At 40.4% G+C, this 14,406-nt stretch overlaps 1 protein-coding gene across 18 annotated transcripts in view, besides 1 other annotated feature; it reads left to right on the top strand.

The window, feature by feature from the left end:
* The window catches only part of LATS1 (large tumor suppressor kinase 1), a 59,949-nt gene that overhangs the window by 13,526 nt on the left and 32,017 nt on the right, over positions 1 to 14,406 (top strand). For 12 of the 18 annotated variants that reach the window (XR_007059386.1, NM_004690.4, XM_017011474.2 and 9 more), the window contains exons 2-3: positions 2,310 to 2,797; positions 9,355 to 9,502. Coding sequence is in view for 14 of the 18 variants with exons in the window: in NM_004690.4 (NP_004681.1) it covers positions 2,450 to 2,797; positions 9,355 to 9,502 (496 nt within the window). In the remaining 4 variants the exon portion in view is untranslated. Of the gene's footprint in view, positions 1 to 260; positions 716 to 2,309; positions 2,798 to 7,389; positions 7,485 to 9,354; positions 9,503 to 14,406 lie in introns of those variants that run through there. The other 6 variants (NR_073033.2, NM_001350340.2, NM_001350339.2 and 3 more) reach the window with 3 other exon arrangements.
* Positions 2,456 to 3,037: an enhancer, noted in NCBI's record as "OCT4-NANOG hESC enhancer chr6:150022675-150023256 (GRCh37/hg19 assembly coordinates)". NCBI's record gives its function as "activates a minimal SCP1, AML or CMV promoter by ChIP-STARR-seq in primed H9 embryonic stem cells {active_cell/tissue: H9 hESC(primed)}" and the evidence as "EXISTENCE:reporter gene assay evidence [ECO:0000049][PMID:30033119]".

The following is a 14,406-nucleotide window of genomic DNA, read 5'->3' as shown; positions in this document are numbered from 1 at the left end:
GGTTGAGGCTGCAGTGAGCTGTGATCAAACCACTGTACTCCAGCCTGAGCAACAGAATGAGACCCTGTCTCAAAAAAAAAAACAAAAAAAAAACCCCTAAGTTTACCCATTTAAAGTGTTTTTTTAGCATATTTTCACAGCAATAAATTGTAATCTAATTTTAGAACAGAAAATAGGTTAGTTTTGTATACAGTATGGTGAATTTGCTTTTTTTGCTTAGGATACATTTACTTATCTGTTTATATCTGTACATTATATAGAACTACATCATTCTGCCGGCCACAGTGGCTCACGCCTGTAATCCCAGCACTTTGGGAGGCTGAGGTGGGTGGATCACCTGAGGTCGGGAGTCCGAGACCAGCCTGACCAACATGGATAAATCCTGTCTCTACTAAAAATACAAAATTAGCTGGGCACGGTGGTGCATGCCTGTAATCCCAGCTATTCGGGAGGCTGAGGCAGGAGAATCACTTGAACCCGGGAGGTAGAGGTTGCAGTGAGCCAAGATCGTGCCATTGCACTCCAGCCTGGGGAACAAGAGCGAAACTCCATCTCAGAAAAAAAGAACTGCATCATTCTTTTTGACTTAGATGTATATTATATAAATGTACTATGAATTACTTGAACAATCCTCCACTGATGAACATCTGGACTGGTGTCAACTTTTGCTGTTATAAATGATGTTGCGAGGAACAGCCTACATCTTCACATACTTGTGTGTATATTCCTTTACTTGTGTTGCATTGTTCCTCTTAATCCTAGTTCAATTTATTAGATGTTGATAACCACTTTATGTCTCAGGAGTCAGTTTCAGAGAATTAAATGTCCAAGTCCACATTGCTACTAATTAACAGAACAAGTAATTTTTTTTTTTAATGTAGACAGGGTCTCCCTATGTTGCCCAGGCTGGTCTCAAATTCCTGAGCTCAAGCAGTCCTCCCTTCTTGGCCTCCCAAGTGTTGTGATTATAGGCCTGAGCCACCATGCCTGGCCCCTGAACAAGTACTTGAATCTCATTTTTTGTTGCTGCTTTCCATTACAAGTGCTGTGCTTTTCTAGTACTCAGAGAAGTACTGTATATCCAGCTAAGCCATTCATGAGATTCATCCACAAGATCCAACCACCTCCCACCAGACCCCACCTTCAAGAGTGGGGACTAAAGTTCGACATGAGATTTGGTGGGGACACAGATCCAAACCATATCAGAGTCCTAGTTCATAGCTTGGAAAATAAACTCAGGCATCTGTTTTTGAAGCATAAAGGGACCTTCTGGAATAGTGGTTTAAAAATCTTTTTAAAGTGGAGGATTGCAGTGGCTCAAGCCTGCAATCCCAGCACTTTGGGAGGCCAAGGCAGGTGAATCACTTGAGGCCAGGAGTTCGAGACCAGCCTGGCCAACATAGTGAAACCCCATCTCTACTAAACGATACAAAAATTAGCTGGGCGTGGTGGCAGACACCTGTAATCACAGCTACTTGGGATGCTGAGGCATGAGAATCACTTGAACCTGAGAGGCGGAGGTTGCAGTGAGCCAAGGTTGCACCACTACACTCCTGCACTCTAGCCTGGGTGGTAGAGCAAGATTCTGTCTCAAAAAAAAAAAGGCTGGGCACGGTGGCTCACACCTGTAATCCCAGCACTTTGGGAGGCTGAGGTGGGTGGATCATGAGGTCAGGAGTTCAAGACCAGCCTGGCCAACATGGCGAAACCCCCTCTCTACTAAAAATACAAAAAAAGTTAGCTGGGCGTGGTGGCGGGTGCCTGTAATCCCAGCTATTGGGGAGGCTGAGGCAGGAGAATTGCTTGAACCCAGGAGGCAGAGTTTGCAGTGAGGCAAGATCGCACCACTGCACTCCAGTCTGGGTGACAGAGTGAGACTCCATCTCAAAAAATAAAAATAAAAAAATAAAAATAAATTTAAAGCAACAATACCCTTCTAAAGAAATCTTGAAGTCTGATTTGTAAAATTTAAAATTTGATCCTCTAGGTGAAGTTGTTAATAAGAGGTTACCTGTTTTATTGTTCACTTAATAATCCCTGGCATTTGTATAAATGCTTGGTATGCTTACTAAGGAACTTTTTTTTTTTTTTTAAATCATCATAGCTACGATTTGAGGTAAATCTAGGTTATAGGCTAGGAAGTAGGCATGGAGAGATTAAGTAACTTGTCCTGAACCCGGAGTAATCCTTAATGGAGTCAGAACTATAACCTGAATCTCTTAACCCCTATATCAATGGACTTTTCCTCTAATACATGGTACTGCTGTATTAACCACTTTATAGCTTTCCTTTCTTTCTTTCTTTTACAGAGTTAATTATTTATATTGTAAAGAATTTTAACAGTCCTGGGGACTTCCTTGAAGGATCATTTTCACTTTTGCTCAGAAGAAAGCTCTGGATCTATCAAATAAAGAAGTCCTTCGTGTGGGCTACATATATAGATGTTTTCATGAAGAGGAGTGAAAAGCCAGAAGGATATAGACAAATGAGGCCTAAGACCTTTCCTGCCAGTAACTATACTGTCAGTAGCCGGCAAATGTTACAAGAAATTCGGGAATCCCTTAGGAATTTATCTAAACCATCTGATGCTGCTAAGGCTGAGCATAACATGAGTAAAATGTCAACCGAAGATCCTCGACAAGTCAGAAATCCACCCAAATTTGGGACGCATCATAAAGCCTTGCAGGAAATTCGAAACTCTCTGCTTCCATTTGCAAATGAAACAAATTCTTCTCGGAGTACTTCAGAAGTTAATCCACAAATGCTTCAAGACTTGCAAGCTGCTGGATTTGATGAGGTAAGAATGTTTAAAGACAAAAGAAAGGATTCTTCTTACCTTATGCTACATAACACTTTTTGGGTGATAACATGCCAAAATGTTTCCTTTGGGAGAATTTAACCCTGTATACACATTTATGTATTCTATCAGCAAAGAATGTTACGTTTATAATTCCATTAATTACTATTAAAAATAATATTTCTTTAGTTTCTTCTGTGATATGTATCACTAAATTCTGGAGTTTCTGGAATTTAAAAGGCCAGATCATGAAGTCATAATGGAAGTGCAGTTGAAGAAAGCCATAGGTGAGGGTAGGGGAAGGACATCTGTTTGTGTGAAATACAAGCTTGGTGAACTAAGTGGCTGTTGGGGAAATGATAGTTCCAAGGATATGAAATTTAACTTTATAGTAGGGAGAAAGAATTATAGTTAAGAGTTTGTGTAAGCAGTTGTGTTCTCAGGCCCAAATCTTAAATTCACAAAAACTAACAAAATTTCACTTCAGGCTAACTGCCAAGTCTTTAATATTTCTCTTCAGAATTCATTTTGAAGTTTTTTCATAACCCATATATTTAATCATTTCATTTAGGTTATTAATAGAATTTTCTTCTTATGATAACATACCTTGTAAGCATGAATATTTTAGGTGTCAGGAGTCATTTTAGATGGGCAATGTAAAATTTAAGTAAATGTGAATAATCAAAAGTTAGGCCAGGCCGGGTGCAGTGGCTCACGCCTGTAATCCCAGCCCTTTGGGAAGCCAAGGTGGGTGGATCATCTGAGGTCAAGAGTTCCAGACCAGCCTAACCAACATGGTGAAACCCTGTCTCTACTAAAGATATCAAATTAGCTGGGCATAGTGGCACATGCCTGTAATCCCAGCTACCTGGGAGGCTGAAGCAGGATAATCTCTTGAACCCGGGAGGCAGAGGTTACAGTGAGCCGAGATCGCGCCATTGCACTCCAGCCTGGTCAACAAGAGGGAAACTCCATCTCAAAAAAACAGTTAATTACATTTTTCAAAATTATAGTAATGTTTTTTCTGATTGCAAAAATATTACCTATTTTCTGTTAACAATTTAAAAGTGTAAAGAAGAAACTGAAAATTATATTTAGCTTCACTGTATAAAGATAACTACTCTTAAAATTCCTTCACTGTTTGTTTTTTGTTGTTTTGTGTGTTTTTTTGGTGGCCGAATTTCCATATATATCTGTATTTAATTTAAAAAATGAGAACCTAAGTATGCATTGTAGTAAAGGATTTGAAAAGGGAGATTTACAACTAAACTAGAAGGAAAAAAAAGTTTTATTTTTTATATTTTTTGAGACGGAGCCTTGCTCAGTCACCCAAACTGGAGTGCAGTGGTGCGATCTCAGCTCTCTGCAACCTCTGCCTCCCGGGTTCAAGCAATTCTCCTGCCTCAGCCTCCCGAGTAGCTGGGACTATAGGCGCCCACCACGACGCCTGGCTATTTTTGTATTTTTAGTAGAGATGGGGTTTCACCATGTTGGCCAGGCTGGTCTCGAACTCCTGACCTCGTGATCAGCCCACCTTGGCCTCCCAAAGTGCTGGGATTACAGGCATGAGCCACCACACCCAGCTGAAAATAAGAAATTTTATTTCTGGCACATTCTGTTTACTTATTTGATTAATATTATTTTCTATCATTTTTACACTTAAGTGTTCTAAAAATACTGGATTTGGACCAGGAAATAGAGAGAGGAGGAGGAGGGAAGGACCTGGGATAATGTTTTTCTCGTTAGTATTTGGAGGATTAAAGAAATGGCTTGAGTGGAGATTGTCCCAAGCACTTTCTTCCTAATCCCTTAGCCAAAAGGCAAAGTATAATTATTGATCTTATTCTTTCCTTTTACATATTGCTAAGCAAAGAGAAGTTATGAAATCACATAGCTATAAAGGCCCCAAGTGGTAATGTGTTATGTCAGATAAGTCACCCAGTAATATGTATTTATGGAGTTCTTACTATGTGTGCACCCCACCCATCAGTCAGGATAGTGACATGGCCTATACCTTTAAGGTAATTAAAAGTTCTTTCTAATAAAGACAGTTTTAGGAAATCTAAGGCATTGGTCAATGCTCTATTCATTATTGGTAATAATAACAATAATTGGTTTGTATTACAAAGATATGTTTGTGCTTTTTTTCATTGAAGTGCTACTACACAAATGATAGCTTTATTGTAATTACACATTTCAAATTGTCACAAGATTGCTTTATTGAAAGTATTTAGACATTTATCATTCCCTGTTTGTCCAAATAATGAAGTATGGTGTTATTTATTTATTTTATTTTTTTTTTTTATTAAAAAGTAAACTTTAATGTCAAAATGCAAACTTGGGGAGGGCAGAAAGATCACACACAAGGCTGTCACTTCACACTTGGAGGATTGCACAGCGGCCAGGCAGAGGCGCTCTTCACTTCCCAGACTGTGAGGTGGCTGGGCAGAGGTGCACCTCACTTCCCAGACAGTGCAGAAGTATGGTATTATTTATACCAATGGTGATATAAAGATTCTGGCAGTCCACTTCTACTTCCTTGAATCACTCATTCTGGTAGCATCCTATTATATTGTAGAGTTTATCTTGTTCAAGATCCTAACTTGGTATTTCAAAATTATTATCTAGTTTTCACTTCATTCTTTTTTATCATTTCAGAAACCCTAACCTACTCTTTTTATTAGCTATGCCAAGTTCAAGATAGTGCCTTTTTTTTTTTTGAGAATGTGTTTCTGGTGACCCTGTAAAATGAAAAGCTCAAATATTTCAAGATTAATTTTCTCATAGGAATAAATGTTAAATAGGATTGATGCATTCTTGGAGCACATAATACAATCACTGGGGTATATTTTTGCTTATAAGCATGAAAAACAAAGGCATAATTATGTGGACATATTTTCTTATCACATAAGACTTCTGGCTAGGCATGGTGGCTCACGCCTGTATCCTAGCACTTTGGGAGGCCAAGGCGGGTGGATCACTTGAGGCCAGGTGTTCGAGACCAGCCTGGCCAATATGGTGAAACTCCGACTCTACAAAATATATGAAAAAAAAAACATTAGCTGGGCCTAGTGGCACATGCTTGTAGTCCCAGCTACTTGGGTGGCTGAGGTAGGAGAATCATCACTTGAACCTGGGCGGCGGAGGTTGCAGTGGGCCGAGATCACACCATTGTACTCCAGCCTGGGCGACAGAGTGAGACTCTGCCTCAAAAAAAAAAAAAAAAGACTTCTGGCTGGGTGTGATGGTTCACTCTTGTAATTCCAGTGCTCTGGGATGCCAAAGCAGGAGGATTGCTTGAGGCCAGGAGTTCAAGTCCAGCCTGGGCAACATAGTGAGACCCTGTCTCTACAAAAAAAAGTTAAAAATCAGCCAGGTGTGGTGGCATGTTCTTGTAGTCCCCAACCACTTAGGAGGGTGAGGTGGGAGGATCACTCAAACCCAGGAGATTGGGTCGCAATGAGTTGTGGTTGCACCACTGCACTCCAGCCTGGGCAACAGAGCAAGACCCTGTCTCTAATGGGAAAAAAAAAAAAAAAGACTCCCATTCCAAAGTTACTGATTTGAGCGTTCTTTTTCACACTGGCACTAACACCTCCACTTAATGAATGCTTGGTTGATGTTTTTACAGCTATAAGAAATATTGTAAAACATAGCAATAAATATTAAAATATAAAGGTTAGCATAGTAATCACCAGAATCACAAGGCTGAAATTCTAGTGCATTTAACAAGAATATGGGCCGGGTGTGGTGGCTCACACCGGTAATGCCAGCACTTCAGGAGGCCAAGGTGGGTAGATCACTTGAGGTCAGGAGTTCGAGACCAACCTGGCCAACAAGGCAAAACCTTTTATATATTTACTAAAAAATATAAATTAGCCAGGCGTGTTTTTGGGCGCCTGTAAATGCCAGCTTCTCTGGAGGCTGAGGCAGGAGAACTGCTTGAACCCGGGAGGTGGAGATTGTCGTGAGCTGAGATCACGCCACTGCACTCCAACCCCAGGCGACAGCGAGTCTCCATCTCAAAAACAAAAAAAAGAAAAGAAAAATGATTCCCACAATATTGGAAAAGGGTAGTGGGTGCTAATTTTCTTACCAATGGAGATGTTACTGCTGTGTAATAATAGCATAAATACATATAGAGTTCACTTGACTTAACCAGTTTTAAAATTAAACACTCCCTGATGAATTTTAATGGGTGATTTCTATTATTTTACATTTACACATATTTGGTTTTAACAAAAATCTAAATAATAATGCTTTTAGCAAGATAGTGATTCAGTTAATTACGATTAGCTCAACGTCTTAAAGATTTCAGAGCCTAGGACTCTTATGAATATCTTAAATTTTACTTCTTGGTGGCAACATGCTCTAGCACAGGTGTCATATCTGTTGCCTAGGAAACGGGGTCGAGGAAGGACCAGTACCTAGATAAGGCAGGCATGGCAAAATTTTTATGGCAACCCTTGCTGCTTCCAACAAAATCAGTAACTTTTTCTAAGAAAGGGAGAAATGACCTTAGGTAGGCAATAAGTTCTTACCACATCCTTTCTTTGGTTGGTCTCACATTCTTCTCTTATCATTTCATATAGGAGGATCATCTGTCAGTAGCCTGTTCACCCATTAGTCTTACTAAGCCATTTCTCATTTAAAAATGTCGTTTGAAATACTGAATCCTCTAGGACAAGTAAGTAGTTGCCTCCCTCTTGAAAAATGCATGTCAACATACTTTCTGCATGATAGTGAGTGATTTATGTTTATATAAAACATAAAGTACAAGGAGTGGAAGAGAGCAGCCAACATTTTAGCTCCAGGCACTGTGCTTGGTAGTTTACATGTTTTCTTATTTAATCCTCACATCAACCCTATGAGCCTATTACAGGCAAAGACACTGAGCCTCTGAAATGTGAAATAATTTGCCAGGTGTCACTCTACTTTACAGAGCTGCTGGAACTCAAACTCACATCTGTCTGATTCCAAATCCTCTGTTTTTTTCATCGTACTATATAGCCTCCTAAAGTCTTTATCACATAATCATATATAGTCTAAGTATCTTCTTTTGTCTTATATTTGTATTCCTGTAATATAGTTCTCTGAAAACGTAATCTCTAAGAGGATAAGAGCCAGAACTACTATGCACAATGGCAATGTGCTTAATAAAATACCAAGATACTCATATAAAAAAGTAGTTCTTTTTTTTTTTTTTTTTTTTTTTTTTTAAGACGGAGTTTTACTCTTGTTGCCCAGGCTGGAGTGTAGTGACGTGATCTGTACTCACTGCAACCTCCACCTCCTGGGTTCTCCTGCCTCAGCCTCCCAAACAGCTGGGATTATAGACACGTACCACTACACCCAGACAATTTTATATTTTTAGTAGAGATGGGGTTTTACCATGTTGGTCAGGCTGGTCTGGAGCTCCTGACCTCAGGTGATCTATCCGCCTCGGCCTCCCAGAGTGCTGGGATTACAGGTGTGAGCCACCGCACTCAGCCCAAAAGAGTTGTTTCTGATATTTTGATTGCTACCTTTTTAACAATCTGATAGTCTCTGATTGTTTATATAAGAATTAGGAAGCTGGGAGCAGTGGCTCACACCTGTAATCCCAGCACTTTGGGAGGCCGAGGTGGGTGGATCACCTGAGGTCAGGAGTTTGAGACCAGCCTGGCCAACATGGTAAAATGCTGTCTCTACTAAAAGTATAAAAAATAAGCCAGGCCTGGTAGAGCGTGCCTGTAATCCCAGCTACTTGGGAGGCTGAGGCAGGAGAATCGCTTGAGCCCAGGAGGTAGAAGTTGCTAGTGAGCCAAGATCGCACCATTGCACTCCAACTTGAGCAACAAGAGCGAAACTCCATCTCAGAAAAAAAAAAGTAAAAAGAATTAGAAGTAATCAGAATCATGTTGCTATGATTGTACCCAGAGAAGTTGTTAATCCTAATTCAAGCCAACAATGGTGTGTTGAAAAAAATAAAAATTTAAAAATACTTTAAAAAAAGACGTTAATCCTAGGAGGAAATAGAAATATGTTACATAAAGATGAAAATGCTAAAGAAACATTTGGAAGATTTGAGGGTTTTGTTTTCTTTCTTTTTTTTTTTTTTTTCCAAGACAGCATCTCGCTCTGTTGCCCAGGCTGGAATACAGTGGTCATCTCAGCTTGCTGCAACATCCACCTCCCAGGTTCAAACAATTCTCATGTCTCAGCCTCCTGAGTAGCTGGAATTACAAGCGTGCGCCAGCACACCCAGCTAATTTTTGTGTTTTTTTGCAGAGACTGGGTTTTTTACCATGTTGGTCAGGCTGGTCTTGAACTCCTGGTCTTAAGTGATCTGACCACCTCGGCCTCCCAAAGTGGCTTGAGCCACTGCGCCCTGCCTGTTTTAGTTGAGATTTTGTGCGGGGTTTTTAGTAGCTACAAACAGAACATTAATATCATGGTTTGGGGCTGTGTTCTTCATAATTATGGATTTCTCTAGTGGAACTCATAGTGTTCTTTCCCTTGTATTATTGTAAGATTTAAATTTTGTTTCTTTTTTTTTAAACTTCAATTCATATCAGGATATGGTTATACAAGCTCTTCAGAAAACTAACAACAGAAGTATAGAAGCAGCAATTGAATTCATTAGTAAAATGAGTTACCAAGATCCTCGACGAGAGCAGATGGCTGCAGCAGCTGCCAGACCTATTAATGCCAGCATGAAACCAGGTGATTAATCAAATATTTTATTTTCTCATCTCTTCTTTTACTGTGTAGTTTAAAAATACTGAAGTCTATCAAATCTTCCTTCTTAGAAATTGTAAAAGCATCCCAGTAAATGAAAGTCTCAAATTAAGATAACATTATAATGTTATACCAAAATGAATTTAAGGATGGGGTCCTCACATTTAAAAGTTAATAGATAATTCTGGTAAGCAGCAGTCTAGATTGAGATCTATTTGATTGGTAATACTGCAGCTGAAATATGTCTATTTTCCCTCCAAATCCCATCATTCAGACTACTCTTTTTTCTTTTTATATATTTTTTTCATATTATGGGAGTAAAATATGATCAACATAGAATATTTAGAAAGCAAATACAAACATCGCTGTTAATAACAATATTTTGGTGTATTTTGTTTCCCAGTCTTTTTTCCTGTGGGAAACCAGAATAGGTTTATCTATGCGTATTTTGATTCTTGTTGTTTAAGCAAAAAATGGGAACATACTAAAACCTACTTTTTTCACTTAATATACCATGTACAATTTTACTTGTTATTAAATTTTCTACAGAATAATTTTACTAGCCACATTAAAATAGACTTATTTGCTGACTGCAGTGGCTCACACCTATAAGCTCAATACTATGGGAGACTGATGCGGGAGGCTTACCTAAGCCCGGGTGATCCTGCCACTGCACTCCAGCCTGGGCAACAGAGCCAGACCCTGTCTCAAAACAAACAACCCAACAAAAAAGATGTATCATATACTTCATTTAACTAATCTCCCATTTTTGGGCATCGGCTTTATTTCCTTTATTATTTGCCATTATAGACAGCACTGCAGTAATTACCCTTATAGCTAAATCTTTGTACATACCTAATGATTTCCTAAAAGTAAGTTTTAGAAAACTTAAAAAACGTTAAGGCTTTTCATAGATATTGCTGTCTAGAAAGATAGCACCAATTTATTATTTTATTTTTTTATTTTTTTGAGATGGAGTTTCACTCTGTTGCCCAGGCTGGAGTACAGTGGTATGTTCTCAGCTCACTGCAACCTCTGCATCCCAGGTTCAAGCAGTTCTCCTGCCCCAGCCCACAAGTAGCTGGGATTACAGGTGCCCGCCACTATGCCCGGCTAATTTTTTGTATTTTTAGTAGAGACGGGGTTTCACCATGTTGGCCAGACTGGTCTTGAACTCCTGACCTCAAGTGATCTGCCTGTCTCAGCCTCCCAAAGTGCTGGGATTACAGGCGTGAGCCACCGCGCCCAGCTAGTAGTACCAATTTATATTCTCCCTATCCGTTTACTATGAGAATGCCTATGTTTGTAAAGCCTCGGTATTATTATTTTTGTCTGTTTAATGGTTATGGAAACACCATCTTATTTTACATTTGCATTTCTTTGATCACTGCATTTGTTTATTGGTTTGTTTTGGTGTTTGTTTGTTTGTTTGTTTGTTTGTTTGTTTTTGAGATGGAGTCTCACTCTGTCACCCAGGCCGGAGTGCAGTGGCGCAATCTTGGCTCACTGCAACCTCCACCCCCTGGGTTCAAGTGATTCTCCTGCCACAGCCTGAGTAGTAGCTGGGATTATAGGCACCTGCCACCGTGCCCAGCTAATTTTTGTATTTTTAGTAGAGATGGGGTTTCACCATCTTGGCCATGCTGGTCTTGAACTCCTGACCTCGTGATCTGCCTGCCTTGGCCTCCCAAAGTGCTGGGATTACAGGTATGAGCCACCGCGCCTGGCCTATTGGTTATTTTTCATTGCCACTTTACCTCTTTTAATTTTTTTTTTTTTTTCTCTTTGAGACAGAGTCTTGTCACCCAGGCTGGAGTGCAGTGGCACAATCTTGGCTTACTGCAACCTCCACCTCCCAACCTCCGCCTCCCGGGTTCAAGCAGTTCTCCAGCGTCAGCCTCCAGAGTAGCTGGGGTTACAGGTGCACACCACCATGCTTGGCTAATTTTTGTATTTTTAGTAGAGATAGGGTTTCACCATGTAGATCAGGCTGGTCTCGAACTCCTGACCTTGTTATCTGCCTGCCTCAGCCTCCCGAAGTGCTGGGATTATAGGCGTGAGCCACCACACCTGGCCTGTCTTTGTGTCCTGGTGCAGTGGCTTATGCCTGTAATCCCAGCACTTTGGGAGGCCAAGGCGGGCAGATCACCTGAGGTCGGGAGTTAGAGACCAGCCAGACCAACATGAAGAAACCTCGTCTCTACTAAAAATACAAAATTAGCTGGGTGTGGTGGCGCGTGTCTCTAATCTCAGCTACTTGAGAGGCTCAGGCAGGAGAATTGTTTGAACCCAGGAGGCGGAGGTTTCGGTAAGCTGAGATCGCACCATTGCACTCCAGCCTGGGCAACAAGATCGAAACTCCCTCTCAAAAAAAAAAAAAAGAAAGAAAAAGAAAAAGAATTGATTTATAAGAGGGCTGTAGTCATTCTTCCTATTCAACAAATTTTTATTGGTCAACCACTGTTTCAGGCTCTTTGTTCTGCATTGGGTAAGTTCTTGCCCTTTTGTGGAGCTTAGCTAGTAAGGGAGATTAAATAATCACCCAGATACATGTAGAATTACAGCTATATATGGTGTGAATGAAGAGAGGAGAGTTACATGGTACTGTGGACTCATATAATAGTGGGATTTTTTTTTTAACCGCATCAAGAAGTTCAGAAAAACCCTTCCTAACAAACTGATAATAAAGCTGATATCTGAAGAAGTACAGAGTTAATGGGAATGGGTTTAGTGAGTGTCCCTTTGCATGGCTGCTTTGGCAGATTCTGATGCCACAAAAAAATGAAAATGTTTGGAGCACTGAACACAGGATTGTGAAATGTGACTGGAAAAGTCCATAGGGGCCTGACTCTGCAGAACTGTTTATTAATTTTATGCTAAGAGCAGCAGAAAGGTATAGAAGTGTTTCAAGCAGGGTAATAACATTATTAGATTTGTATTTCAGAAAGATGGCTGCAATGGATGAGAATGGGTTAGAGAGGTGTGAGGATAGATATGAGGACAGGTGTGATAGGAAACACAGTAGTTTGTGAGGGTAATTTGGGCTTGGGCGATAGCAGTGAAGAAAATAAATGAATTAAGAGGGATGGGAGTGGTAAAATTGACAAGGACTTGGTAATAGATTACATATGGTGCGTGATGGTAGAAGGGGATAACTTAGGTTTTTGGCTTAGAAAAATAGATGGATGATAATACCCTACATTAAGAAAGGGAATGTTAAGAGAGAATGGAATTGGGTGGGAAAGATCATAAATCTGGCTATAGTTTTCCAAGTGAAGATGTCAAGTAGGGAGGTGGGGATGTATGTATGAGCCATACATATGAAATAGGTCACCTAAGGGATGTTACATAGACAAAATAATAAGATGGCCTGCAACCAAGCTTATTATTTAATAGCTAGTAGGAAGGGGTAAACCTGCAAAGGGGACAGAGAAGAAATAGGTGAAAAGGAAGAAAACCAATAAGGTTTTCAGTGTTTTGGAAGCCACAGTAAGAGAGTGTTTCAAGAAGGGGAGGGAATGGTCAAAATGCCAAATACTGCTAAGAAAGAGATACTGACCAAGATGAGAGCTAAAAAATAATCTTGTTGACTTTAGTGACATGGTGTATTAGTTTGCTAGGGCTGCCATAACAAAATAACACAGACTGGGTGGCTTAAACAATGAAGATTTATTTGAGTGCTGGAGACTAGAAGTCCAAGATTAGTTACTGGCAGGTCTAGTTTCTTCTGAGGCCATTCTCCTTGGCTTGCAGATGGCGGCCGCCTTGCTGTGTCCTCATATGTTTGTCCCTCTGCATGTGCATGTGTCTGGGGTCTCCATCTCCATGTCCAAATTTTCTCTTACAGGGATACAGGTCATACTGCATTAGGACCCACCCTAATGACCTAATTTAATCTTAATTACCAAATACAGTCACATCTTGTGGTACTGGTGGTTAGGACTTCAGCATATGGATTGGGGGTTCAGCAAATGAGGTAACTTGTCATGTCCTGGGAGCATAATTCAGATTGGAGTGGGTTGAGGACTAAATAGGATATGTAGTAGTAAAAAAAAACAAGGTATACCTTCAAGAAGTGTTTCTGGAGGAGAGAGTGAGGATGTTAGCAAGAGTAGTGCTTCTCAAACCATCTATGGTGATTTTTCAAATTTCCAGTTCATCATGACTTCAATTCATAATTTTATAACATACAATAAATTATTAGAAAATGAAAATTTAAGTGCCACACATGGTAGCTCACGCTTGTGATCACAGCACTTTGGGAGACTGAGGCAGGAGGATCACTTGAGCTCAGAAGTTTTAGACCAGCCTGAGCATCATGGTGAAACCCTGGCTCTACAAAAAATTATCCAGGTTTGGTGACATGTGCCTGTAGTCCCACCTACTCAGGAGGCTGAGTTGGGGGGATTGCTTGTACCCAGAAAGTTGAGGCTGCAGTGAGCTGTGATTGCGCCGCTGCACTCCAGCCTGAGCAATAGAGTGAGCCCCTTTCTCAAAAAAAAAAAAAGAAAGTTAAAATTTTAAATGACATAAAAATATAAGTTGAGGCTGGGCACAGTGGCTCACACCTGTAATCCCAGCACTTTGGGAGGCTGGGGCGGGTGGATCACCTGAGGTTGGGAGTTCGAGACCAGCCTGACCAACATGGAGAAACCCCGTGTCTAATAAAAATACCAAATTAGCTGGGCGTGGTGGTGCATGCCTGTAATCCCAGCTACTGGGGAGGCTGAGGCAGGAGAATCACTTGAACCTGGGAGGCAGAGATTGCGGTGAGCCGAGATCGCGCCATTGCACTCCAGCCTGGTCAACGAGAACAAAACTCCGTCTCAAAAAAAAAAAAAAAAAGAAAAAAAGAAAAGAATACATATATGTATATGTTTAAATAGTTT

This window comes from Homo sapiens, chromosome 6 (genome assembly GCF_000001405.40).
Source record: "Homo sapiens chromosome 6, GRCh38.p14 Primary Assembly".
NCBI classification, from domain to species: domain Eukaryota; kingdom Metazoa; phylum Chordata; class Mammalia; order Primates; family Hominidae; genus Homo; species Homo sapiens.
Note: the sequence above shows the minus strand (reverse complement) of the source record. Positions and strands in the feature narration are given on the sequence as shown.